Source organism: Homo sapiens, chromosome 1 (assembly GCF_000001405.40).
Source record: "Homo sapiens chromosome 1, GRCh38.p14 Primary Assembly".
Lineage (NCBI taxonomy): Eukaryota > Metazoa > Chordata > Mammalia > Primates > Hominidae > Homo > Homo sapiens.
The window spans coordinates 6,943,291-6,970,515 of NC_000001.11; the positions used below are offsets into that span (position 1 = coordinate 6,943,291).

Below are 27,225 nucleotides of genomic sequence, written 5' to 3' on the forward strand. Positions count from 1 at the left end.
AGGGCTCAACTGTGGTCCCCTTGTCTCCCATTGTCTACCTTGGGGCTGCTACAGTCAGGAGCATTGAGGGTCCCTGTGGCAGAGGGGAGGAGGCACCTGATTTCAGAGAGCGGGGAAGTGCAACCTGTCCTGCACCAGAAATAGGTGGCGCCCCACACCTCCTCACTCATTTCCCAACTCTGCCCTTTCCTCCCTCAGCGTCTTCTCAACACGGCGGCCAGGGATTCTGCTTTCCTTTTTAAAGTTATTTTAAATTGTGTTAAATACACATAACGGGGCCAGGCGTGGTGGCTCACACCTGTAATCCCAGCACTTTGGGAGGCCGAGGTGGGCGGATCACGAGATCAGAGTTCGAGACCAGCCTGACCAACATGGTGAAACCCCCGTCTCTACTAAAAATACCAAAATTAGCTGGGTGTGATGGCGTGTGCCTGTAACCCCAGCTACTCAGGAGGCTGAGGCAGTAGAATCGCTTGAACCTGGGAGGCGGAGGTTGCAGTGAGCCGAAATCGTGCCACTGCACTCCAGCTTGGGTGACAGAAGGAGACTCTGTCTCAAAAAAAAAAAAAAAAAAAAAAGAAAAAAATACACATAACATAGAATTTTAACCATTTTAAGTGTCCAATTTAGTAGCATTAAGTACATTCACATTGTGGTACCATCACCATCTCCATCTCCAGAACTTTGCTATCTTCCCAAACTGAAACTCTGTTCCTGTTAAGCACGAACTCTCCATCTCCCTATCCCCCCAGCCGCTGGCACCCCTGCATTTGAATTTTTGTCTCTGTGAGTCTGACTCCTTTTAGAGCCTCAAATGAGGGAACCATACAGTATTTGTCCTTTTGTGACTGGCCTATTTCACTTAGCACAAGGTCCTCAGGGTTCATCCATGTTGTAGCATGTGTCAGAATTTTATTCCTTTTGAAGGCTGAATAGCATTCTATTGTATGAATGGACCACCTTTGCCTATCCGCTCGTCTGCCCAATGACACTTGGGTTATTGAGAACTATGCCACTATGAACATGGGTGTGCAAACAGAGTGACTCTTTTAGAACACAGGTCAGTCCGTGACAGTCCTCTGTTCAACCCGGGCCTTCCTGTTCTCTCAGTGGAGAAGCCCAAAGCCTTTATGATGGTCCCCAGGACCTGTACACCCCACCCCATCACGTCCTGCAGCCACACTGAGCTCCTGCTCTTGCTCAGACACATGGGCACACTGCTGCCTTATGGCACAGGCACAGGCTGCTCTCCTGTCCCCTCTGCCTGGACACCCTTCCCCAGGCGGTCCCATGCTGTCCTCCACCACCCTCCAGTGTTTGCCCCAGTGACTGCACCACCTGCCCCGGTCTCCCTGTGTCACATTGCGTCATAACCCTCCCATGCATTTCAGAGCCCCTACCTGTTTCTCTCGTTTAAAATAACATTTATCACTTTCTGACATACTACAGACAGTCTTTGACTTGCCGTGGTTCGTTTTGCAGTTTTTCCACTGTACCAATGGTGAAAGTGATACGCATTCAGTAGAAACCATACTTCGAATTTTGAATTTTGATTTTTTCCCAACTCTAGACTAATGGAAATGCTCTGAGCATATTTAAGGTAGGCAAAGCTATGGTGTTTGATAGGTTAGGTGTAGTAAATGCATTTCTGACTTAATGACATTTTCAGCTTACAGTGGGTTTATTGGGACGTAGCCCCATCGTACGTCGAGGAGCGCCTGCGTGTGGTTTGTGTTTTTATTATGTGCATTGTCTGGCTCCTACTCTGAGAGGGCAGGGATCTTGTGTGTTTTGTTTACTGATGTATCCTGTCCACCTAGAGCAGTATTTGGCATATGATGGGTACTCAAATACTTGTATGAATCAATGAATCTTTTTTGATAACAGCTTTATTGTGATATAATTCATATAGCTTACAATTCACCCATTAAAATGTATAGTTCCATGGATTTAGTGTATTCAGGCAGTTGTGCAACCATCAGCACAACCAATTCTGCAACACTTTTTATAACCCACAAAGGAAACCCTATGCCCTTTATAATTTTTTAATTTTAATTTTTTAACTAATTTTTTTTGTGTGTGTGTGACAGGGTCTCACTCCAGGCTGGAGTGCAGTGGTACAATCACGGCTCACTGCAGTCTCAACCTCCTGGGTTTAGGTGATCCTCCCACCTCAGCCTCCCAAGTAGCTGGGACCACAGGTGTGCACCACTACGCCTGGATAATTTTTGTATTTTTTGTAGAGATGGGGTTTCGCCAGGTTGCCCAGGCTAGTCTCAAACTCCTGGGCTCAAGTGATCCTCCTGCTTCGCCTCCAAGTGCAGGGATTACAGGCGTGAACCACTGTACCCAGCCACCCTATGCCTTTTAGCTGTCACTCCTGTCTCCCCGGGCCTAGGCAACCATTTTCTGTCTCTATAGATTTGCCTATTCTGGACATTTTATATAAATGGAATCATGAGATGTATGGTCTTTTGTGCCTGGCTTCTTTCACTTATCATAATGTTTTCAAGTTTCATCCATGTTGTAGCGTGTATCAGTACTTCATTCCTTTTTATTGCTGGATAACATCCTGTTGTATGGATTAAGCCACACTTTATTTGTTCATTCGTTAGTCGACGGACAATAGGTTTGCTTCCACTTTTGGGCTATGATGAATCGTACTGCTTTGACCCATCTTGTATAATCCCTTTTGTGGGGACACATGTTTTCAGTTTTCTTGGGCATATACCTAAGAGTGAAATTGCTCGGTCACATGGCAACTCCATGTTTAACCTTTTGAGGAACTGCCAGCCTGTTTTCCAAAGCTGCTGCACCATCTGAAATTCCCACTAGCTGTATAGGGGAGTTCCAGTTTCTCCACATCCTCAGGTGATATTATTGTCTTTCTTTCTCTTCTTTTTTTTTTTTTCTTTTTTTAGAGACAAGGTCTCAATCTGTCACCCAGGCTGGAGTACAGTGGTGTGATCATAGCTCACTACAGCCTAAATACCTGGGCTCAAGCGATCCTCCTCCCTAAGCCTCCTGAGTAGCTAGGACTGCAAGCACATGCCACTATGCCTGGCTAATTTTTAAAAGATTTTTTTAGAGCTGAGGTCTTGCTATACTGCCAAGGCTGGTCCTTGAACTCCTGGCCTTCTGAACTCTTGTCTTAGCCTCACACAGTGCCAGGATTACAGGGATAAGCCATCTTAACTAGACCTATCTTTCTTTTTGATTATAGCCATCCTACTGGGTATGAGGTGGTATCTCATTGTGGTTTTGATTTGCATTTCCCTGATGATTAATGATGTTGCATATCTTTTTATATATATTTGTGTATCTTCTTTGGGGAAATGTCTGTTAGATTCTTTGCCAATTTTAAAATAGTATTTGTCTTTTTATCATTGTGTTGTGAGAGTTCTTTATATATTCTAGGTACAGATCCCTTGTCAGAGATAGGATTTGCAAATATTTTGTCCTGTTCTATGGGTTGTCTTTTCACTTCCTTCACCGTGTCCTTTGAAGCACAAAAGTTTTACATTTTGATGATGTTCCGTTTAGTTTTTCTTTTGCTGTTTGTGCTTTTGGTGTTATAACTAAGAAACCATTGCTTAATCCAAGGTCATAAAGATTTACTTCTATGTTTTTGTCTAAGAGTTTTGTAGCTGTAGCTCTGACGCTTAGGTCTTTGATTTATTTTGAGTTAATTTTTGTATACAGTGTGAGGGAGGGATCTAACTCCATTCTTTTGCATGTGGACATCCAGTTGTCCCAGCACCATTTGTTGAAAAGACTCTATTTTCCCCCATTGAATTATCTTGGTATCCTTTTTGTAAATCAATTGGCCATAAGTGTGAGGGTTAACTTCTGAACTCTCTATCTCTGTGCAGTGATCTGTATGTCCACCCTTATGCCCGTACCACACTGTCATGATTACTATAGCTTGGTAGTAAGTTTTGAAATTGAGAACTATGAGTCTTCCAACTTCTTTTCGCTTTTTCAAAATTGTTTGAAATCTTGTTTCAAGACTGTTTATTATTTGTATATGGGAATGCATCCCATGGAAAACATGGGGTGTGTTTCCATTTATTTCCATTGTCTTTAATTTTTTTTTTTTTGTTTGAGACAGTCTCACTCTGTTTGCCCAGGCTGGAGTGCAGTAGTTCAATCTTGGCTCACTGCAACCTCCACCTTCTCGGTTCAAGTGATTATCTCATCTCACCTCAGCCTCCTGAGTAGCTGGGATTACAGGCGCGTGTCACCATGCCTGACTAATTTTTTTTTTTTTTGAGTAGAGATGGTGTTTCACCATGTTGGCCAGGCTGGTCTTGAACTCCTGACCTCAAGTGATCCACCACCTCGGCCTCCCAAAGTGCTGGGATTACAGGCATGAGCCACCACCCCTGGTCTGTCTTTAATTCTTTTCAACAATGTTATATATAGTTTTCAGAGTATAAGTTTTGCATTTCTTTTGTTAAATTTTCCTAAGTATTTTATCCTTTTGATGCTATTACAGATGGAATTATTTTCTTAATTTTATTTCCAGAATTTTTCATTGTAAATATATGGAAATGCAATTGATTTTTGTTTGTTGATCTTGTATCCTGCAACCTTGGTGAACTTGTTTATCAGTTCTAATAGAGTTTTCGTGGATTCTTCAGGATTTTCTACATACAAGATCATCTCATCTGTGAATTGAGACAGTTTTACTTTTTCCTTTCCAATATGGATACCTTTTGTTTCTTTTTCTTGCCTAATTTCTCCACCTAGAACCTCCAGTACAATGTTGAATGGAAGGAATAAATGAATCTAAATCCTAACGTCATGTCAGTAATTATCATGTTTATTCCCATTTTACAGATAGGCAGACTGAGGCTTAGAGTGGGTAAGTAAGTTGCCCAAGGGTGTGTTACAGCCGAAGAGCTGTGGGGCCAGGCCAGAATTGCTGTGTACAGTCTGCTTGCTGCAATGCCTTTCCCCCAGCTGCCATCTTCATATATGGTAGGCATTTGGGGGAGGTACCAGCCAACCTGGTGGATGACATTTAGAGTTTAGTGAGAAGCTCTGGAAGTCTCACTGGTAGCACTAAGCTCCTCTCTGTGTACCGGCTGCTTCCCATATGTACATGCGTAGGTAAGAGCAAGATAGAAATGACAGCACTTGTACATTCCACTGAGGGCTTTCTCATCAGTGTCTCGTTTCATCCTCTTAGCAACCCTGTCAGATAAGAAAGATGAGTTTTATTGTCCTCCATTTACCGATGAGGAACTGGCACTTAGAGAGCTCAAGTGACTTTCCTGGCCTTTGGGAAATGTTGGCATGGTGGGGACAGGGTGGGGCATCATGTGTGTTGATTATCTTCCCTATGTTAGACACTATGCTGGACAGTTGCTGTATGGCGTATGGCTTAATCCTCACTCAGCATTATTATCCTCTTCCCACAGTTCAGAAAATTGATGCTTAGAGAGCTTAAGTAAAGTGCTCCATGTACTCAGCTCAGAAATGGCAGGGTCTCCCCTCAAACCCAGGCATTTGACCCCCAAATTCTACCTGCTTTCCTCGGACCACAAGGCCTGAGGTGATCGAAGAAATTTATTAAAGGGAAACAAAGATGGATAAAAGAGCAATTCCCACGAGGCCAGCCTTGGCAGGTGCTGTTGCTCCCTGACGTGTGTCTCCTTGTGTGTTATCCCCCACTTTAGGGTTTAACTGTATCTTGAGAGGTGGGATAATCTTCCAGGGAAAAGCAGAGAAGGGGACCATCTGCTGAGGCAAGGGACCTGTTCAAGCAAACTCCTGTCTTTTCTGAGATAAGTCTGACTAATCCGGTCCTTGTGACTAATCCACTCTGAGACTTTATCTTTAGAACCAATGATTAATTTAAATAGGCTAAATTGTTCCATTTCAGCCCCCATACTTGAGTGTTCCTGGGGGAAGTGGGGTTAGGGCAGGAGGGTGGTGCCTGGGAGTTGTGAGGGTCCTCGAACTGTTGGAATTTCAGAGTTTCTAGCAGATAGGGCTGGGGCCAGATCCCACATAGGAACTGCAGCCCTTTCTGCTGACATCATGGGAGATCCCGCTTTGAACGCCCTCGAGGGCAGACATATGCAGGGGGTCCCCATTCTATAGACCCCGTGAATCATGCTGTGGGTGAGAATCTCTGCAAGACGATGTTGGCCTCTGTGACTTTCCTTTCCTCTTCCACTCCAAGAGCCAATATTTTCCTCCAAGATCACAGAACTCCGGCTGAGCGCTGACGAAGCTGTAAAGTGCTCTAGAAAGGCTGCTGGCGAGGAAATTCACCCATCCAATCCCCCTTCAGACCTTACCTCCTGAAGACCTGGATTGGAGAGGCTAGAACCCAGATGCCAGAGTCAGATCCCTGCAGCTCACTCTCTGAATGACCTTGGGCAAATTTTTTAGTACTTCTGAGCCCCAATCTTCTCACTGTAGAGCTAACCTAGTCCAACAAGTTCATTTTTCAAAAGATGACATTAACGTTGCATCCCCAAAGCCACACAACAAGTAAGTGCAAAAGGGAGGGCAGTGACCAGGCCTTCTGCCCTCGGCACGCCAGGCCCTTCTGCGTCATTATCTCATCTGGTCCTCACTGCCAGCCTCCGGGATGCTGGCTGCATCCCCATGGGACAGGAAAAGGCACTGAGACTCAGATGCGTGGGTCATGCTGCCAAGCCACACAGCAAAACGTGGCAGAGCCAGAATGGGCTCTACGTGTGCCTGATTCCAGGCCCCATGCAGGCCCTATGACACCCAAGGAAGGGTGAATCTGTGGGCCTTTCTCTCTGCTGGCCCTTAGTTCAGCCTCTGGCCGTTGCCTCACGGAGGCTGAGCAGAGGTCTCATCTGCCCAGGGGCAGGGGATGGTGCTGGCTGGGCGGAGGCAGCAAGGAGGGGGACGGCCTTCTCATGTTCCCAGCCCACCCTTCTCAACACGCCCTTGCTTTGCACACAGGCCTAATTACCAAGAGGAGTCTGGGGCCCATGGAGGCTGTCAGTTCCTGCAACATCACAGCAGCCTCTTATCTTGATGGGTGTGTGCTTTTGTTATATTTTTAAATTACAGACAGTGAGAGTATTCCCTTGGCATCCAGAGCTGAGAGCTTTGGGACTTTGAATGGTGGAAAAGGAACCCAAGTGCCTCTGTGCCAGGCTTCCTCCCAAAACTCATATCAGAATAGACTATAAGAAGCAGCAGCCCCATAGCTCAGTGGATTAAAACAGCAGAAGGCGTTTTCTCACTCCTGCCACATGCTCACTGCAGGTGGGTGGCCAATCAGAGACCTGGCTGATGGAGTATTGTTGGTCACTGTGCCAGAGAGAATGTGGAGTCCTGGAGGCCTTGAACTGATTAGTAGGTATCCCAGCCAGAAGCATTGTGCTCCTTTGCAGCTCACTGGGCAGAACTGGTCCCATGCACCCCCACCCCCCAGCCCCACCAATCAACCACAGTGCTACGAAGGAGCACTCCCGTCATGTACCACAAAGCAGGGAGAACAGGTCATAGCATTAATGACCGACAACTACCACTGGGGAGAAGTAGGACCAGGACGCTCTACAATCGGATGCCCAGGGAGGGGCTTCCTGTCATGGGCTGGCCACCAGCAGGAGGTGTCCAGCGTGTGTTCTGAGGCCTGAGCTGGGCTCCTGCAGGGCATCTGTGCTGTTGCTGCTCATGGAGACCTGAGGCAGTGGCCTGGCCTCTGCCTGGAGTGGAAGGAGGAGGCTGCACAGTTGACCTCCTTTTGCTTTTCCTTGTGGTTTTGGGCTGGGAGTTGCAGACAACCTTTCTATAGCTGATTTGGGGTCAAGAATCCCCATAGGACCCAAGACAGGTCCTAGAGGAGGGAAATGTGTTTGTTCCCACTTTTTTATGGGGTCCAGTGGCGAAAAGGATAAAAACTCACAGTTAAAACAGGAGTCTGACATCTGTCTGCTGGGGAGGCCACAGGTGGGGGATCTGGATCAGATGGGATTCGTTCCTTCATTCATTCAATAGGTATTGAATCTTAGCTTTACATTTGTGTAAAGTGACTTTAGGTAAGTCACTTAACCTCTCTGAGCCTTAGCTCTCTCATCTCTAAAATTTGAGAACTATTCCATATCTCACAGGGATATTGTGGGGATTGAGTGGGATAATGGATGGAAAGTCTCTGGGAGAAGCCTGGCACATATTGGATGCAACAGATTCCTGTTTAAGGAACAAATGTCTCCGTTTTCTCCTCCATAAAATGAGGGTTATAAGAAGCGTCTTTATCCCCCAGGACTATTGGGAAGAACAAAAAAGAGACCATTTCCATAAAGCTCCAGCCCCCACAGACACTCAGGAGACCCCAGTCTCCTCCTGGGTTCCACGGGTGGGAGGCTCTAGGGGGACCATTCTCCCGCCTCCTCGGCCATCGGGCTATAGCTCCCCAGAGTGGGTCCAGGGTCCGGAGCCTTCCTGGGCCCTGTCCGAGGCCCAAGAGCCTGTCCCCTTTCCTGCTGAGGCTGGAGCAGAGAGAGGTTAGCCCCAGCCTGGGAAAGGCCTCTGTTGTCATCCTGCGGGGTTCCAGGGTGAGGGTGCATGCAAACTGTCAAGCGCAGTAAGACTGTGAGACATGCCGTGCGAACTGTGAGGTGCTGGATGAGGGTGAGGTGTTGCGTTCCGTCTCTGGGTCTGGACTGGCTTCCTGCTGCTCCCTTGAACCACAGCCCCAAACCCCATCTCCCACCTGTCCAGCCTCTGCCCAGTGAGTCCCACTCTGCCAGCCTGCCGTCTGCATCCCACTGTGCCTTCTGTCAATGGTGACAGTTGTGTAGAGAAGGAAAACAATACTGGGTGGTTCAGATGTTTCTGGCATCAAATGGGATAACATAGGCCGGGCACGGTGGCTCACGCCTGTAATCCCAGCACTTTGGGAGGCTGAGGCGGGCGGATCACGAGGTCAGGAGATCGAGACCATCCTGGCCAACATGGTGAAACCCTGTCTCTACTAAAAATACAAAAAAATTAGCCAGGCATGGTGGCGGGTGCCTGTAGTCCCAGCTACTCAGGAGGCTGAGGCAGGAGAAAGGCGTGAACCTGGGAGGTGGAGCTTGCAGTGAGCCAAGATTGCACCACTGCACTCCAGCCTGGGGGACAGAGCGAGACTCTGTCTCAAAAAAAAGAAAAAAAAAAAAAAAAAGAGATAACATAGTGAAGAGTTTTCTTTGGGAATAAATATTATTTAAATATGTATTATATTTTAGCACAATCAATTTCAGTTGTAAAAACAACTATTTGGCCAGGTGTGTCTCACGCCTGTAATCCCAGCACTTTGGGAAGCTGAGGCAGGTGTATCACTTGAGGTCAGGAGTTGGAGACCAGCCTGGCCAACATGGCGAAACCCTGTCTCTACTAAAAAATACAAAAATTAGCCAGGTGTGGTGACGGGCATCTGTAATCCCAGCTACTAGGGAGGCTGAGGCAGGGGAATGGCTTGAATCCAGGAGGCGGAGGTAGCAGTGAGCCGAGATAACGCCACTGTACTCCAGCCTGGGCGACAAAGCAAGACTCCATCTCAAAAAATAAAAAACAAAAATAAAAACAATTATTAATTGCAGGGAACTTGGAACATACAGAAAAGAAAAGAATTAAGAGGAAAACAGGGATCCCCCGGATCTCATCACCCAGAGGCCACCGTGGTGGACACTGGGTTCTGTTTCCTTCCCGCCGCCTTCCGAACCCCAGGGCATATGTGTGTTTTGCTTGTTTCATAACATCGGGTTCATATTTTTTGTAGCTTACTTTTTCACTTGATACCATATTGTCAGCATTTCCCTCAGTTATTAAATATTCTTTGCAAACATGATTTGTAATGTTTGCCTGATAGCCCGTCCTGCATCTGTCCCGTCGTTTTCTCTCCATATCAGTGTTGCAGCTTCCAGGGATTCAGTATAGATTCCATTCGTGGAGCCGAGCCCAGTCTGAGACCTAGAACAGATTCTAGAAACTGTCGAGAGCTCTCTCTTTTCACCATGCATGTCCCTGGCCCTTGTGAGCCATGTGGAGACCTGGAAGGACTTGGAGGGGCCAGGGTCCAACCCCGGGAACGTGGCCAAGATCTCAGTTGGTCTTTGTTCTTTCTCGCCGCGTGAGTCCCCTGGTAGCCTTGGTGGGGGTCCTTTCACCATCATACCCGGAGGCTGTGGCTTCAGGCCTGGGTCTGGATCCCACCTAGCAAGTCCTTCCTTGCTCAGGGCCGCCTTGCTCAGGAGGGCTGGCTTAGGACCGAAGCCCAGGCCCCGCAGGGAGCCTGCCTGCTCCTGAATTTCCCATCTTCCTGACCTTGGAATCCACTTTTCTTACCTCCTTGTCACCTCCTTATGCCCAGAGTTGGCTTTGATTGAGGGACTCTAATATAAGATGGAAAAACCCAAGGGTATGAAAGTCACTGCACTTTATAGCCTTTTAAGGGCCTTTTAAAAACAATGTTCATTCAATTTTTTTCTTTTTTTTTTTTATGAGCTTTCTGGTACGTACAGCACATAATCCTACATAAAATGGCTGAGCACGACACTGGCATAAACAGCCGGTGATGGGGTGGAAGTCCGTGAAACGACGGGTTTGCCTCTGTGGGAGAAGCCGCAGTCTTTCAGCACTGAGCAGGCTCCGGATTCCAGGGCTGGGGTTGCCAGGTCTTCTGAGTGCTGCTGACCTGAGGGCGGCACTCGAGGGCTTGGGTCCTTGGGGAGGGACGCTCAGGCCCCTGCCTGGGAAGGATGCCTGCGTGGCTTGAACCCTGACCTCCACCATCAGCCACATGTGCCATTTGGGACTTGTCCTTTTTCTCACCATTTCATGAAAAGCTTGTGTTGCTTTTGCCAGCCAGCCAGCCAGCCAGCTGGGAAAGCTGGTCCCACATCATGGCTTTCTAAATGACGCCCTGGCTGGTCGCCTGATGATTGAGCAGGCCATGGTTAAGGCTCTTGACAGCACGTCCAAGGGCCAGGTGCCCCGTGGAAAGACTGGAGCAGACTTGATGTCAGTTCCCCAGCTGTTGTGGGGTTGAAGGGGATTTACCCTGCAGGAGTAACGCTCCTATTGCTCGAGCTGTTGGGGTGTGGACGGGGGAAGCTCCAGCTTATTTATCCTCATAAACCATAGTGCTATCCCCTTTGTCCCACGAGTTCCAGTATTTCATTATCCAAAGTGGATCTCCTAGGCTGCCTCCAAATTGCACACAATGATTTTGTCAGATTTTGAGGTCTGAGTTTTCCTTTGCAGAATAGGAAGAGTCACTCTGTCCCAGCCTTGCACCTGGTACATAGTAGCCCGAGTGGTGGGGAGTCTGCCAATGAGATGATAAAAGACTCTCAGAGGTTAAGGCTCTTGCTCAAGGCCACACAGGAGACAGGCTCTGAGCTCGGGGGAGCCCGACCCTTAAGACTAAATCCTCAAGGACCGCGAGTGCCTTTGAAAGCCCTGCCCCGCCGCCTGGGCAGCTGGAGTGGGAGCCACGCAGGCAGGCACTTGTTTCTGAGCACAGCTGAGCTGGCGGGGCCCTGCCACCTCCTTGGACGCCGCCTTCCCTCTGCTTGCCTGGGACGGGCTGGGGAGCAGCCTCGTCTATGGTGCAGCCCTCCCCTTCTCAAGACCACCCTGACCTTTCTCAGCATGTGCCTGTTTTCCAGGTCACCGTTTCGATTTCGCTTCACTTCCTAGTGTTTATTCTCCTCCGTTAGAAGAGCTTCGTGTTTATTGATTGTTGTCTCCGGACCTTCAATTTTTGTCTGCGGCTCTGGCAATCTGGAAATGAGTCTTCCACTTTCATTAGCCACCCTGTTCTGAAGAGCATCCGACCTTTCCCTAATCAGTTCCAGCTAATCATGGCCAGTGGCTTTGGATGAGCTGGGGTGGGGGGTTGGGGGAGCAGGGACAGGGGTTGCCAAGAGGCCCACAGGACCTCCCCTGGGGGTAGACGATAGTGACGGTGATGATGATGATGTCAGCACTGGGCGTGCACCCTGCTATACTCTCACCATCTCCCCTCACCCCTCCACTCCTCTTCCCTGGCGCCAGAGGCATCTGACCCTTAGGAAGCTAGGGGCTGCAGTGGGTCAGAGTGAGAACCACGGTCAAGCTGAGGGGCCCCTGCTTGTCTATAGCCAAAGGCCAGGTCCAGGAAATAGTACTTGGGGTTTGGAGTCGGGGGCTTTGACTCAGATCTGGGTGGAGTCCTGGCCTTGTGGCCCTGGACAGGCTATTTACCTTCTCTATAAACTGGGGATAACAAGAAAGCCTCAAAGCTTAGGATGGCTGTCAGGTGTGCGGTGGCAACCAGTATTACTACTATTGTTGTGACTGTTGAGTCAGATCAGGTTTCTCCTGAAGGCCCTACCTGGAGTGATGTTGCTGTGCCCGGTCCCTAGCTCCGTGCCTGGTAAGATGTTCACGGGGCTTAGTGAACACGTGTCTAGCTGAGCCCCACTGAGCTCTGATGGGGGCATTTTGTTGCTTGTGGAGCAAGAAGCCATTTGGATGGGGCAGAGGTCAGCTGCCAGGACTGTGTGGCCTGACCTCCATCCTGCACCATGCCCAGCAGAGTCAAGGCTGTCAGAGGGATTTTCTCCCGCGGGTCTTCCTGTGCAAATCAATAACCCTTCAGGCAGCAGCAGGGAGGGAAGCATGCACTGAGGAGGCAAGGGTCAGGGCTGTTCCTGCAGCTTCCGGCAAGTCCTTTGCAGGGTTTTTCAGTATCTTCCGCTCGAGCAGGTGCTGCAGCAGAGCCTCAGATACGTACTGAGCGTCGCCTCAGTTTCATGCACACCGCTTGGGGCTCCCCAATCCCTGAGTCCAGAACCACCTGGAGGTCTATTGCATTCTGGCCCCGGCAGCTCTCCATGGAAGCAGAGATGAACTAGCAGGGCCAGAGGCTGCTCACTATGGTGGGGTCCCTGATCTCCTATCAGCACCCTAGTTTCTAGTAGGAATTTGGGAGGCAGAAAATATTCCCCCTTCCCTCCAGGTGAATACTCAGGTGCATACTATGTGCTTGAAGCTCATGGCCAACCTCAGAGGCTGATGGGGCCTTGTGGGCTTTCTGGAGAGCTCTGCAGGGTCCCAAGTGTCATTTCTCCCTTGCCCCTGCTTGATGCACGGTTTGTGAGTACTCTCTTTGGCTGGTCCTCTTCACTCTCTTGTTTACCATTTGCTGTTAACAACAGTAATTACAGTATAGTTGTGAGATGAAAACATGACTAAATTATGACACTGCTTGTGTAACAATCTCTTAAAACTGACTCAGAAGGCAACAGCTGCACAATTAGGCTATAAATTCTCTTAAATGAACTTGTCGGTGGCAGCAGTACCTGTGTGGCGGTGTTGTGTAAGAGATAACCAGGCTTAATGGGCTTGGAGAGGGAGCACCAAGGATGGCCTCGTAAAGAGGGAAACTTTGTTCTTTGTCATAAACCACTTGTTCTCTTATAAAAACAAAGGGCTCAGTGTTGGCCCATTAACTCCCTCTGTCTGTCGGGACTGTGGGAGCAGAGCATCTGCCTGACAAGCTGACACCAGGGATGCTTTCTGCCTTGAGGTGTGGCTTTGTTTGAGGCTCCTCCACCCTCATCCCGAGGAGGCATGGCCAGCAAGAGGCCTGGGTGGGATTAGTTAGTTAGTAGCGGTCGGGCCAGCATGGCCTTGGTGGGGGCCCAGCTGAGCTGCTGCAGTCTTCCCAGCTGGGCTGCGAGGCCTGCCCTTCTTATGCTAAATGACAAACTTCAAGACAAAACCCACGAATCAGAGCGCCTTGGATGTGGGGCTGGGACCTAAGAAACCATGTGATTCAACAGAGGGATGATGGAGGCTTGCTTCAGATGCGCTCTTTGGGAAAGAAGCATGTATGCCGCAGATCTAAGGGGGAAGGATGCAACTGATGAGGTGTTACAGGATGCTCTTACCCCACCCCAGCCTGAATGTGGCCAGCACTGGGACTGGTGATGCTGACACTGGGGGCCCTGCTGTCTGCCTCCAGGTCAGCTCTTAGCAGCGTATTCACTTTCTGTGGCTGCTATCACAAACTACCATAGACTTGGTGGCTTAAAGTGACACAAATGTACTATCTTGCAGCTCCAAAGGCAGAAGTTGGGTCTTGATTTTGACATGGGTCTCGGTGTTTTAAAATCAAGGTGTTGGCAGGGCTGTGTTCTATTCTGGACTCTGGGAGATAATCCGTTGCATTGGCTTTTCCAGCTTTCAGAGGTCACCTGCATCCCTTGATTGGTGGCCCCTTCCTCCGTCGTCAAAGCCAGCACTGGCAAGTCAAGTCTCTTTCAGAGAACATCATAGTTCTCTGACTCTCTCTTCTGCCTCTTCTTTATCTTCCATTTGTAAGGACTCATGTGATTCCATTGGGTACATGAGTACACTAAGGTGATTGTTTCCATCTCGAGATCAGCTGATTAGTTGCCTTAATCACATCTACAGTCTTAATTCCCTTTCACCATGTAACGTAGTATATTCACAGGTTTTGAGGATTATGACGTGGACATCTTTAGGGGGCCATTATTCTGCCTGCCACAGGCAGGTGGAGAGTAGGGCTTTGAGCCAGCTTGACTTTTGTGCCCTCTGAGCTGGGCACAGGCAAGGATCAGACGTGAGGAAGCAAAGCTGAGCTGGTCCTACAGGAAATCAGAGAGAGAACAGCCTCTCTGTTCCCTCCCGCCTGTCAGCACTGGACTCGGCCTGCACCTCAGATGTCACTTGCATTTTCTAGGGGCTCCCAGTCAGAGACAGGGTGTGGTCTTTCGTGAACAAAACCCAGGAGTGGACATACCCCATGGCTTCCCAGACTGTGTGGGAGTCTCCCTGAATGAAAATGGTAAGTGTGCACCCTTTCCTTCCTGGAGAACCTAGCATTAGCATCCACCTTTCCCCTAGGCCCCTCCCTGGAGAAGGTGCAAATCGGGAAGCCTGCTGGTATAAGATAAAGTTCAGCTTTAACAGTTTTCAAAATAAACGAACAACACACAAACTCCAGACGCTGCACAAACCCACCAGCAGGGAGTCATGGCCACAGGTTTTGAAAACTTTCACCATTCTGGGATTGCAGAGCGTCTCATCCGCAGCCCCGGACCCCCTGGCCACCTCTGCTCTTTCATCCCAGCCTGGCGGAGAGGCAGCTGGACTCTCCTCTCGGACAGGTTCTCTGATGAATTTCCAGGCATCTCCCTGGACCTGTCCACACAACAGATTTCTGGAGCGCATCCCCAGGGACCTCCAGCTCCAGGCCTATTACTGAAGTCCGTCACCCAGAAAATCTGTTGACGGAACCGTTCTCCCTGAACTGCAAGCAAATTGGGAAATTTGAATGTGACGCAATAAGCCTGCAATAAAACAGAGCCTCCAAGAAGTGCATGAAGCGAATCTCCTCCCAGCCTAGTCCACCACCCCTCTGCAGCTTCCCGAGCTGTCACCCTCCAGGGTGGCCACATACAGTATTTATTTTTTTTAATTAAGCTGCGTTGCTGTGTGGCTCACCCTCCACAGATGCTTTATAAAGCCCAGCCTTGTAAGTTGCTGAAAGTTTTTATTTTTTTTTAAGCGGATAGTAAAATTAAGCAGTTATTAGTATTCACGAAAAATGCTCGTGGCAGGCTTCGCACACGTAATGAGAAGCCACCTGCAGTTCAAAGCAGTACTTGATAATGCTGTAATTAGATTTGAGATGCAAAAAAGCTCATTAAAATTAAATAACATATTTGTCACTGTTTTAAGAGGTACAGATTGCCTAGAACCATGCTGGTCTCTTGACCTTGAGTATTTTGGCAGAGTCCTTGCTGCCGACAATTCAAAAATAACATCAGCAATTCTGCAGAGAGTCCTGAAAACATGCTCATCCTTGGTTCAGTTTGTATTGAAAAAATTATATAGATATCCAGGGGAAATCACAGATTTGTACACAGTGTGTTCTGGGAGAAAAGGGTGGCCACAGTCCTCTCTGAGCCAGTAGCTCAGACGCTGTGAAGAAGAGATGGATGTGTGCCTGTGGGAGGCTGGGGCAGGTGGAGGGGTCCCCCATAGGACACGGGGACACTGTGAGGGAGTTTGCAGGAAGCGGCGGCCTTGGGCACCACTGCTTACCACTAAGCTGAGCTGGATGAAGCCACTTGCTCAGAGCAGGCCCAGGGCGACTGGTAATCAGATTGTCAGTCAGTGTTTCCCGGGTGCCTACCGGTGTACCGGGTCCCGGGCAGGGGATGGTGGGGCCGCAAGTGCCAGTGAGATTTGCCTCAGGCTGCAAAAGAGGTCATAGCCTCATCACGGAGATGAGGCATAAAGTCAGGTGCCAGGAAAGTATTTATTGTTAATAAAAGTAGCTAATGTTGACTGAGCGTGTCTTTCATAGTAGGTAGCCAAGCGTGGCATGCATTATCTTAGGAATCATCTCCATAGTCTGTGAGACAGCCCTGACTGCCCCATTTTCCTTGAGGTTACGTTGCTCTTGTAAGGTCACTTCACTAGTAAGTAACTAGTAAGCCCAGAGCTGAGCCGGGTTCAGATTCAGGTCTGGCCTTCTGCAGCACCCCTTCTGCATGAATCACAGAGTCACTCAGGTCCCATGGGCAGAGCAGAGAGACCCAGGGTGGGAGAGGACACACATGAAGGCACTCACTGAGGACCCACTCTTCACCAGATCCTGCTCTAAACACTGCGTGCCTGTTCATCATTGTATCCCCATAGCAACCCTGTGATTCCATTTTACAGATGAGGAAATTGAGGCATGAGAAATTAAATAACCAGTCCCAGGTCACCAGGTAGTTGGTGGCAGAGTTAGGATTAAGCTCTGACCTTGACTGTTATTCTATGTTTAATTTTTCTTGAAATCTGTAAAGCATTCTATAAAGGTAGGATGTAATTTAAAAGCAATTATGATGATTTTTGTTCTTGGAGAAAGAAAATGCAAGTTGCTTTCAAGGGGCAGAGACCAGAGGAGTTTTCCTGGGGGCAGAGAGCAGTTAAACGAGACGTGAGTGGAGGGGGCCAGATGGAGGGAAAATGAGGCCAAGTTAGAAACAGAGGCCTGGCCTGGGCTCCAGGGACAGTGTGGGCCCCCATTTTGGAGGAGCTGCGTGTCCTCCAGGGCAGGGAGTCATTGGGAAGGCAGTCTGGGCCGACTGCCCCTCCTCCCGGTGGCTGGATTGATTTTCCAGGCTGACTCTCTTGGCACTGGGTCCAGATTTAGTTCTGTGGAGAGCTCGTCTTTCAAAGTCCAGCTCAAATGTCACCTCCTCGGCAAAGACTCCCCCACCGCCTGAAGCAAAATTAATCACTCCTCCTCCATGTCCCACAGCACTCTGTTGATACCTCCGGAATAGTCTTATCACATCGGACACGGATTTATGTGTTTACAAGTCTGTCTCTCCAGCTAGACAGCGACTTCTCGAGGGCAGAGCCCACTCTGCCTTTGTGTCATTGTGCCTGGGGCAGTGCTGCGTGTGCAGTGGGTGCTGAGGAAATGATGCATACATGGAGGACCAGTGGATGGTTTAATTTGATTTCAGTGACCAAGCACAGAGCTCTTACTTTGTGCAGGTCTTGTTCTAAGCTCTTTACATATGTGAAAGGATTTAGCCTTTATAACCCCATGACATCAGTTAGTTCTATGATGAGCCTGTTTTACAGGTGAGGACACTGAGGCTCAGAGAGGTTGTGTAACTTCTCAATATCATACATCTGGTAAGTGGTAGAGCTGGGAGTTTTAAACCCAGGCAGCCTGGAGTGAAAACATCTGCTTAAAGTGATTTTGTAGCTACAGATTGTATATAGTGATTCTTATTAGGGGAGTTTCTGGAATGAATTCTCATTTCACTCTTCTTTTCCCTAACTTGTCTGAATTTAGGAAGGTTTGGAGAAAGCGATTGGGCTGCGATGCAGTTAAGTTTCCTTTGTTGTAAGCCGTGGAAACCAACTCTAGCTAAATTAAGCTAAACAGGGATTCTGTTGTGAGGATCTAAGTAGCTTGCAGAAGGAGCACGCTGGAAGGAAGGGCTTTGGGGAGGCCAGAGGGACTGACCTAGCGGGAACTGAAGGACAGACTTGCTGGGATGAGCTCTGCACGTCACGTCCCTCCCAGTTCAGGCGCCACCATCGTGACCGTGTAGGGAATTGGGGTGCTGGTAAGACCTTGGGTGCTGGGCCGGCAAGAAGGTGCGCTGCCTGCCGACCACCATGCGTTCCTGCTGGCCATTGCTTGGGTCCTGTGTTCACCCTGGGCCCAGTGGCAGCCTGGGCTGAGCCGGGGGCGTGAGAGCCCAGGGCTCTCAGTCATGTTTCCTTGACACATAGTTCTGGAGTTTGGGGCGGGTGGGGAGGGTGAGGCTTCTGAAAGGAATATTCACTGGCAGTGACCTTTCTTAGGTTTTTAACATTTTGAGGGGATTGATTGAATTGATCCAAGCCCATTCATTCTCGGTCTCCAAAGGACATGAATACCGCAGGACCAGCCCAGCTTGAATGTTTGAAAACTGGGTGCAAACGAGGACTAGACTGATTCTTTCTCACCGGGCTTGCCCCCAGCCTCTAAACTAGAAGGGGCGTCTGGCTGGGTGTCCCTGGGAGGACGGCCAGAGTGCGCCTTGCTCAGAGGTTGTTGCAGGGAAGCCCCTTTTCCTGGGGAGGGAGGGAAGGCGCTGTGCATCTCTCCCCGGCGGCCAGTCCAGCGTCTTCCGGTATGGCAGTCCTTTGCCCTGTCGGGTCAAAGCCAAGCCCCCTCAGCCTCCGGGCTGTCCCCAAACGTGTCTCCCTCGCGGTGTCCGTGGCGCGCAAGAGCCTGGAGCCTGCTGCTTTGGGCCTCACGCCTCTGTCTCATGCCTCTGCCGGGGCCCCGATTTATTCAGGACACACGTGTGCTCCGAGTGCCAGATACATGGTGGACCCCGACAAGGCACGCAGGTCTCAGACAACAGGTGACGCTGTGTCCCCGGCCTGTGCAGCGGGGACACCCACCTCATTTTACTCCCCCCAGGTCAGCTGGTCCTTGCTGGGAGGCTGGTCCCTGGGGCGAGGGGCCAGGGGCAGCTGGAGGAGAGCGCCTGCCCCTCCCCACCCCGCCCCGCCCCTCCTCCCTTCCACTCCCCCTCTGGGCCCGCCCTCCGATTTGGCCTCTTCCCCGGGCCCACCCTTTCTATAGCCCCACCCTTTCCGTTTTGGTTCCTCTCTCCCTGCCAGCCCCGCCCCCTCAGAACCTATCCCGTTTCCTTTATGGACCTGCCCTCGTCTGGTCCCATCCACCCATCTTGCCCCGCCCACATCCAGCCTTCCCACCTGGCCCCACCCCTCCTTTTTGGCTCCGTTTCACCCGCCCCGCCCCTCTGGACCCACCCCTCTTTCCTCTGTGGACCTGCCCCTGTCTGGTTCCACCCACCCACGTGGCCCCACCCACTCCCTGCCTTTTATCCTGCCCCTGCCCCATGGCTGGCCCCATCCTCCATCCCTTTTCGTCCTTGCCCACCGAGCTCCTCTGGACCCACCCCTCTTTTTGGGCCCGCACCCATCTGGCTCCTCCCACCCATCTGGCCCCACCCACTCCCCTGCTTTCCATCCCTGCCTTGCCCTGTGACTGGCCCCACCCTCCATCCCTTTTGGTCCCTCCTTGCCTGCCGAGCTCCTCTGGACCCACCCCTCTTTCAGTTGGGGCCCCGCCCTCATTTGGCCCCTTTCACCCGTCTGGCCCTGCCCATTCCCACCTTCCACCCTGGCCCCGCCCTGTGGCAGACCCCATTCTCCATTCCTTGTGGCCCTTCTCCTCTGGACCAACCCCTCTGTCCATTAGGGCCCCGCCTTCATTTGACCCATCCCACCCTCTGGCCTCACCCACTCCACCTTCCATTTTGACCCAGCTCCTTGGCAGGCTCCAGCCTCCATCTCTTTTGGCTCCTCCTCACCCGCCCCGCCCCTTTGGAACTACCCATCTTTCCTTTATGGGCCCCGCCCCATCTGGCTCCTCCCACCCACCTGGCCCCCCCCCCCCCCCCGCTTTCCATCCCGGCCTTGCCCTGTGACTGGCCCCGCCCTCCATCCCTTTTGGCCCCTCCTTGCCCGCGCCGCCCCTCTGGAGCCACCCCTCTTTCCAATCGGGCCCCACCCTGTTTTCCTGGCCTTCAAGCTCCCGCCTGGCGCCCCGCAGCGGCAAGCGTGATTTATAGGCCGTCTGAGCCGTGACCTATAAACCCTGTTCTTCAGGGGGTGCCTTTCTTGGATTAAATGCCTCTAAAGGAGCCTCTGTCTCAGAAGTGTCATGTAGAATGTTTCCGCTGACGGAGAACATGACCTTTAAAACCCCGAGTAAAGGAAGCAGAGCTGCCAGGGGAAGCATCGGGCAAGGCGGCGCCTCAACCCGCCTGCACCTGTCCGCTCTCCGACCCCTCCCCAGACCTGGTGGGGCGGGCTGCTGACCTGGCTGGGGGGGCGCGCTCCCGGGGCCTGGGGGCTGGGCGCGGCTCGGGGAGCTGCGCTTTGCGGACTGGAGGTGGCGACCGTGCGAGCAGAGACGCCCCTCACCATGGGCCAAGAGCCCTGACCCTAACAATGGGAAAGGGCCAGGGCCCTTGTTCCACTTCAGTTTCCTTCCCTTTGTGCCCTGGGGGACACTGGGTCCTGCTAAAGGCTGGGGCGCCTGTCGCAGAAGACCCAGTGTCCTGGGTGCTCTGGGTGAGGCACAGCGTCCTGGGTGCCCAGATAGGGGTGCAGAATCCTGGGTGCCTGGTTAGGGGTACAGAGTCCTGAGTGCCTGGGTAGGATACAGAATCCTGGGTGTCTGGTTTGGTTGCAGTGTCCTGGGTGCTTTGGGTGGGGGCACAGTACCTTGGGTGCCCAGGTAGGGGTGCAGTGTCTTGAGGATCTGGGTAGGTTCAGTGTCCTGGGTGTTCATGTAGGAGTGCAGGGGCCTGGGTGCCTGGGTAGGGGTGCAGCGTCCTGGAGGTCTGGGTAGGAGTGGTGTGTCCTGGGTCTGTATAGGGGTGCGGAGTCCTGGGTGTTCATGTAGGAGTGCAGTGTCCTCGGTGCCCCCGGAGGGTGCAGCGTCCTGGGTACCTGGGGAGGGCGCAGCGTCCTGGCTGTTTTGTACAGGGGCACAACGTGATGGCTTCTCTGGATGTTCCATCTGCAGTGTCTCAGAGGATGTCATAGAACTTGGAAGAACTGTGCCTAGGTCCCACCTTTTATCTGACACTGCAGTCTTTGTTTCTTGGGTGGAAAAGCCATGGCTGCCTCTCTCCCAGGTTGGAGAAAGCATATTTCTGGTAGTAGCCACTCTGTAGGTCCATATGGACACTTTATACTAAGGAGGCTACATTTTCTTATTCTCTTGCCCCCACAGGCTAATGTCACAAGTAGAAACGTGACTGATACACTCATTCCTTTGTACACTTTTATAAGAAATCCCCGCAGACGCTGTTTTGCTTTGGTCCCTTTGAGGTGCTTAGAGGAGTGGCTGGATTCTCCAAGAGGCCTCATGCAGGAAGCACTCAGTATATGTTGCTTGTGAGATGCCGCCAGGGATTCTCTGGAAGGAGGACCAGGAGATTTCTATGGAGAGACGAGTCAGCTGAAGGCCTTTGTGGATGGAAGTAGGGGACTGTCTTCCACCGTGTCTTTTTTGAGAGCTGGGAAGGAGAGGCCGGGTCGGCTGGGAAAGAGCTGTCTTGTGTTGGAGGGGCTTTGAGCCCTCCTCCAAGGGTCGCAGAGCAGCAGGTAGAGACTTAGAGTCTGTGCTAACAGAGAGGGAGGGTCTTGTCTGGGAGACTTGCCTGACCCTCTCTTACTTGGGTGCATGGTGCTGGCAAGGAAGAAGCAGGGCCAGCGGAAGGGCTGTATTTCTGGTGAGATGTATTAATATGTGAAAGCCACTTCGGGAAAAGTAGTGAGTGTGGTATGAGCATGAGTGTGTGTGTATGACTTTGTGTGCTTGTGTGTGTCTGTGCATGTGTGCATGTGTGTGGGCACGTGCTCCTGGGGGCATGCACATGTTTAAGTGTGTGCTTGTGTCTGTGCATGTGTGTATGTGTGTGGGTGTGTGTGTAGGGGGCACGCAGCCAGCTCTAACTTGAGCAGAGGCATTCTGTTGTTATAAATAAGGCTGGTTTTTATATTCCCATTTGACCAGGGAGTGCAACCAGCAGACCAAAGGTAATGCATTTCAGCTGCCTGTGGGGGAAGGTAAATGTGGTTTATTAGCCCCCCTGGCTCAGAGGGGGCTGGGCACTGGTAGCAGCTGAAGCAAGGCGGCTCTAGATGGAGGGAGGGGACAGGTTGGTGATTGTGTGCCCTGGTTTCTCTAAAGGAAAAAAAATGGACGTGCCGCCTGTTAGCTAATCAACAGTGAGGAGAAAGTCCTGACAACAAGTAAAGAAAACTTAGCTGGCAATAAAATAAGGGACTTTTTATGGTGGTTTTTATGAGAACATTTTCGCTTTGGGAGTTATTAGAGTTAGTGCCGGTTGTGACAAAAGCTGCATTTGCATATCGCCGTGATGAGGTCTGGATGGAGCCTGAATGCGGCATTAACTGCATATCAGAGACCCTTTCAGAAGCCAAACAGGATGACATTTATTGCAAGCTCGATGCCGCACGTCTGGCATTAGTTACTGCTTGTTGTGTCCTGTGGAAACTAGATTTTCTGTCTTGGGATCTTTCTGGGACTGGTCGCAGCAGCTTCCTAGGTCAAGAACAAGCTAGGGCTTTGGGAGTGTGTGGGGGATCTCGGGGATGGGGAGGGGACACCATCGGGAGAGGAGAAGGAGTTAGGCTTCACAGGGCTGCGCGCTGGCCAGGTGCCTGTCACAGGCTGACCTAGATGAGACTGCCACTCTCAGATTCAAGCCCCACACCAGGACAAACAGGAATTTTTCCCACTTTTTTAATTTTTAAAATTACGATGTAATTAACATATCACGCAATTTACTCATTTTAAGTATTCAATTCCATGGCTTTTAGTATATTCACAAAAACGTGCAACCATTGCCCCAGTCTATTTTAGGACATTTGTGTTACCCCAAGAGAAACCCCTCACTTCTTAGCCGTCACCCCAACCCCCTCATCCTCCCTAGCCCTAAACGACCATACATCTACTTCTGTCTCTATTGATTTGCTGCCTCTGGTCATTTCATATAAATGGAACCATACAGTATTTTTCCTTTTGTCTCTGGCTTCTTTCCCCCAGCAGAATGTTTTCCAGGTTCATTTATGCTGTGGCACGTGCCAGAACTTCATTCCTTTTTATGGCTGAGTAATATTCCACTGAACAGATACGTTCTATTTATGTATTCATCAGCTGATTTTCCCTAAACACTTTTGAAACCTTTTTTTTTTTTTTTAGAGACAGAGTCTTGCTTTGTTGCCCAGGCTGGAGTGCAAGTGGTGTGATTTCGGCTCACTGCAACCTCCACCTCCTGGGTTCTAGCAATTCTCCTGCCTCAGCCTTCCAAGTAGCTGGGATTATAGGCACATGCTGGCATGCCCAGATAATTTTTTTGTATTTTAGTAGAGACTGGATTTCACCGTGTTGCCCAGGCTGGTCTCGAACTCCTAAGCTCAGGCAATCCATCCTCCTCAGCCTCCCAAAGTGTTGGGATTACAGGCATGAGCCACCGTGCCCGGCCAAAACCTTTTTTATTGTAAAAGATACTCATGAAAAAATTCATGGTTGAGACTGGGCACGGTGGCTCACGCCTGTAATCCCAGCACTTTGGGAGGCCGAGGTGGGTGGATCACCTGAGGTCAGGAGTTTGAGACCAGCCTGACCAATATGGTGAAACCCTGTCTCTACTAAAATACGGAAGGTAGCCAGGTGTGGTGGTGTGCACCTGTAGTCCCAGCTGCTTGGGAAGCTGAGACAGGAGAATTGCTTGAACCCAGGAGGTGGAGGTTGCAGTGAGCCGAGACTGTGCCACTGCACTCCAGCCTGGGTGACAGAGTGAGACTCCATTTCAAAAACAAAAAAACCAAAAAATCAGGGTTAAGCCCATTGGAACCCACCTGAATTTTTTCAGAAAATGGAGTTCTAGATTGAGGGAGACATAGGGGGTTGATGAAGGGAGTGAGATGGGGTGGGGTGGGGGGTGGAACTGCGTTTCCTCTGGAAAACATAGAGCCCATGCTTTGCACCTCCCAGCTCCCCACCCGCGAATGTGGCCTCAGGGCTGACTCCAGGATTGCTGCTAGGGTCCTGGGAGGGTCTTTGTTGCTTGCCATTCAGAGAGCATTCTCTATCTCAGGGGACCTTCAGCCACTAGGTTTGAGGATTCCCAGGGGATGTTGGTGTGGTTGAGGGCTCTAGGGCAGCTTAGGCTGGTGGCCACGTGTTCCTGCCTCACATCCGCTCCTCTCCATGAGCTCTGGCTGTGCTGTGTGGTTCAGCCAGCATTTGAAAAGTCTGGGCTGAGGCTGCTGTGGAGAGGAAGCAATTGTGCATTTCATAGATGGTGACATGCATCTCTGCTGAAGGCTGAGAGTGATATTGGAGGAGGCACAGTGGGCTTCTGCCTGGCTCAGATTTAGGGAGAATCTTAGGGCAGGGGGTGAAGTCAGAATGTCCTATTTTTTCTCTTCCAGAAAAATCGGTAGGATCCCTGGGTGACTCAGCTCTTAGTCTTAATTATGCTGCTATGTAAATATTTCTGAGGTCTCTTGGTTTTCTCAGTTGGCATTATATCACAGTTAATAACCAGAGGGCACATTATAAATATGCAAACTAGTAATAATGCTTTAACTCGAAGAACATCGATAAATTGCCAAACTGAGCTGGCAGCGTTCAGCAGCTCATTCCCTTTGCTGTGGAGATAGCTTCCTCTACTCCTGCATCATGGAACCCACGAATTCCGTTGGCCCCTCCCTGCCCCAGATGGCACCCTCAGGAGCAGTCGGCTGTCCGCTTGGTGTGCCGAGAAAACGGCTCTTAATGTGGCCCCGGGTGTGTTTTCCAGCATCTAGAAATCTCCCAGAGAGAGCAAGGCATGTATCGTGGCTTGCCCTCCGCTCTTTCTGTGCTGGGACAAGATCGGAAGTAGAGTCTGGAAGGATGGCCCTTGCCCCTCTCCCGTCCTTTATTTGGTTGGAAAGATCATAGCCCCCACGGTGGAGATACCGCCAGAGTTCTCCTCCCCGCTCCCTGCCTTGTATATGGCCTCAGGAAGTCACGTCAGCTTCTTCATCAGAAATTCATTTATATGACAAATGTTTACTGTGTGCCTACTGCGTGCCAGGTGCTGTGCTGGGCAGTGCATATGGTCCTTGTCCTCATGGAACTGATGTTAGGGTAGGAGAGACAAGCAGGCAGTAGTTAGGATTGTGATCGATGTGTGTCTCGGAAGCACAAGGGGTTACTGGAGCACCTGTTCAGGACGTATCATCCATTCCCGGTGGGTCAGGAAATTCTACCGGAAATTCTACCGTAGCAAGTGCTATCTAAGTGGAGATCTGAAGATACCCTGGCAAAAGGAGACGGATAGAGAGAGTGGAGGTGGGGGCTTGGGGGAGGCGGGTTACAGGGAAGAACATCCTGGTCAGAGGGAACAGAATGTGCAGGTGCTTCAAGGAGAGAATGCGGGATGTGACTAGGGAGCTGCAAGTCGCCAGTGTGGCTGCAGCATGGAGCTAGTGGAGGACAGGTGTGCTGAGGTGGGCTGCAGAGGCACGGGGCGAGGGGGTGTCTGTCTCCAAGGAGCTAGTCTGTCTTGCCAAGTTGAGGGACATTTAAAGGGTTTGACTTTATCGGGACAGAGAGGGGCCAGTCTTGCCTTAGAAAGCTCCTGGTTGTGGTGAGTGGACCAGAAGAGGTCAAGAATGGCAGCTGAGATACATAGGGGTCCTTGCTTGGCCTCCGTGGGCATTTTCAGTGAGGGCTAAACCAGATGCCTTGTCTACCGCAAAGGGCACTTGTTGGATCAGCCCGAGCCATGCTAAATCAGGCAGCTTCTGAGCAGGATGCAGGTTGGGGGCTCTGAACTTGGAGTCTGGGCAGGAAGGAGGTGGTGTTTGTGGTTTGTGGAGGCGGCAGCGGGATGCCTGTGACCTGAGTGGAGCTAGAAGGGGCAAGGAACGCTGCAGAAGTAAAGGCGGCCAGGTTGGGGGAGTGAGCGGCTAGGTTGGGTGAGGGTTCCTGGGCTCCAGCCGTTGGACTGCCGCTTGCCCTGGAACCTGGTCCGGCTCCTCCCCCGGATGATCACATCTGCTTTGGGGCGGTGAGGAGGGCCCAGATGATGTAGTGGGAACTGGTGGTGCCCAGTGAGATGAGCTTTTTCATGCAGGCCTTGGACTTCAGGCTTGTTCCAGCTCAGTGCACTTTTCCTGCCTCAGCTTCCTCATCTGTGAGATGGGCACCTACCTTTGGGGTTTCTTTGCAGGCTCTGTGTCTTCCCATATTTACAAAATAAAGGTTGGATGGGTGTTTATTGGCCTTCAAAGCCAGTGTAGGCCTACGATTTAAACTTCATCCACATTCCTCAGCAATGGGTGTAGACCATAGTTAGATGTATTTTAAACTTTTTATTTTGAAATTTATTTATTATTATTACAGGAATTTGCAAAGAGAGTTCAGGGGGCCTCATGTAGCCTTGGTCTCCTTTCTGCAATGGCTTCATCTTACCTGACAGTATCACAGCCAGGACCCAGATGTCGATACAGTGCACATGTGCAGTTCTGTGTTGCTTCATGTCACACGTGCAAATTTGTGTCACCACCACCACAGTCAAGGTGCAGAATTGTTCCATCTCCACAGACATCCTCCCACCAACCCTGTGTGGTCAACTCACCCTCTCCCTCCCAGGATCTCTAACCCCAGTCAACCACTAATTTGTTCACCATCTCTGTAAGACTATTTTAAATTACAAATGTATTTTTGTTATAAAATTATATAATAATCTTCCAGAAATTGAGGGACATGGAAAGAAAACATTTCCATTTCCCTACCACTCTCAGTGATTTCAGCGCATCTCTGTGCCTTTTTTGGTCCACATGCATATATTTAGTGTATCTGTAATCCTAATGTGTACGGGACCTTATGTCCTGCTTTGCTTGCACGACGTGCCATAAGCATCCTCCATATGTATTGGAGCCGTGGAGTGCTCACAGACAGCATTCCAGGAGGCGGAATGGGTGGCAGGGAGTGGGAGGCAGCAGAAGGAGTGGAGGCCGGTCCCAGACCAGCATCGGTGAGGAGGTAATGGGGGTTCTTGCCAGGCCAGGGACTCTCGGCTTGGAGGGGGT

At 50.6% G+C, this 27,225-nt stretch overlaps 1 protein-coding gene across 25 annotated transcripts in view, besides 8 other annotated features; it reads left to right on the forward strand.

The window, feature by feature from the left end:
- The window catches only part of CAMTA1 (calmodulin binding transcription activator 1), a 984,253-nt gene that overhangs the window by 157,837 nt on the left and 799,191 nt on the right, over positions 1 to 27,225 (forward strand). The gene's annotated exons all lie outside the window — the stretch shown is intronic.
- Positions 7,667 to 8,370: an enhancer, noted in NCBI's record as "H3K4me1 hESC enhancer chr1:7011017-7011720 (GRCh37/hg19 assembly coordinates)". NCBI's record gives its function as "activates a minimal SCP1, AML or CMV promoter by ChIP-STARR-seq in primed H9 embryonic stem cells {active_cell/tissue: H9 hESC(primed)}" and the evidence as "EXISTENCE:reporter gene assay evidence [ECO:0000049][PMID:30033119]".
- Positions 12,667 to 13,196: an enhancer, noted in NCBI's record as "H3K4me1 hESC enhancer chr1:7016017-7016546 (GRCh37/hg19 assembly coordinates)". NCBI's record gives its function as "activates a minimal SCP1, AML or CMV promoter by ChIP-STARR-seq in primed H9 embryonic stem cells {active_cell/tissue: H9 hESC(primed)}" and the evidence as "EXISTENCE:reporter gene assay evidence [ECO:0000049][PMID:30033119]".
- Positions 13,197 to 13,727: an enhancer, noted in NCBI's record as "OCT4-NANOG-H3K4me1 hESC enhancer chr1:7016547-7017077 (GRCh37/hg19 assembly coordinates)". NCBI's record gives its function as "activates a minimal SCP1, AML or CMV promoter by ChIP-STARR-seq in naive and primed H9 embryonic stem cells {active_cell/tissue: H9 hESC(naive and primed)}" and the evidence as "EXISTENCE:reporter gene assay evidence [ECO:0000049][PMID:30033119]".
- Positions 13,728 to 14,257: an enhancer, noted in NCBI's record as "OCT4-NANOG-H3K4me1 hESC enhancer chr1:7017078-7017607 (GRCh37/hg19 assembly coordinates)". NCBI's record gives its function as "activates a minimal SCP1, AML or CMV promoter by ChIP-STARR-seq in primed H9 embryonic stem cells {active_cell/tissue: H9 hESC(primed)}" and the evidence as "EXISTENCE:reporter gene assay evidence [ECO:0000049][PMID:30033119]".
- Positions 19,190 to 19,289: a silencer, noted in NCBI's record as "silent region_180". NCBI's record gives its function as "represses an Ori minimal core promoter by ATAC-STARR-seq in GM12878 lymphoblastoid cells {active_cell/tissue: GM12878}" and the evidence as "EXISTENCE:reporter gene assay evidence [ECO:0000049][PMID:35858748]".
- Positions 19,520 to 19,759: a silencer, noted in NCBI's record as "silent region_181". NCBI's record gives its function as "represses an Ori minimal core promoter by ATAC-STARR-seq in GM12878 lymphoblastoid cells {active_cell/tissue: GM12878}" and the evidence as "EXISTENCE:reporter gene assay evidence [ECO:0000049][PMID:35858748]".
- Positions 20,000 to 20,049: a silencer, noted in NCBI's record as "silent region_182". NCBI's record gives its function as "represses an Ori minimal core promoter by ATAC-STARR-seq in GM12878 lymphoblastoid cells {active_cell/tissue: GM12878}" and the evidence as "EXISTENCE:reporter gene assay evidence [ECO:0000049][PMID:35858748]".
- Positions 26,069 to 26,569: an enhancer, noted in NCBI's record as "H3K4me1 hESC enhancer chr1:7029419-7029919 (GRCh37/hg19 assembly coordinates)". NCBI's record gives its function as "activates a minimal SCP1, AML or CMV promoter by ChIP-STARR-seq in primed H9 embryonic stem cells {active_cell/tissue: H9 hESC(primed)}" and the evidence as "EXISTENCE:reporter gene assay evidence [ECO:0000049][PMID:30033119]".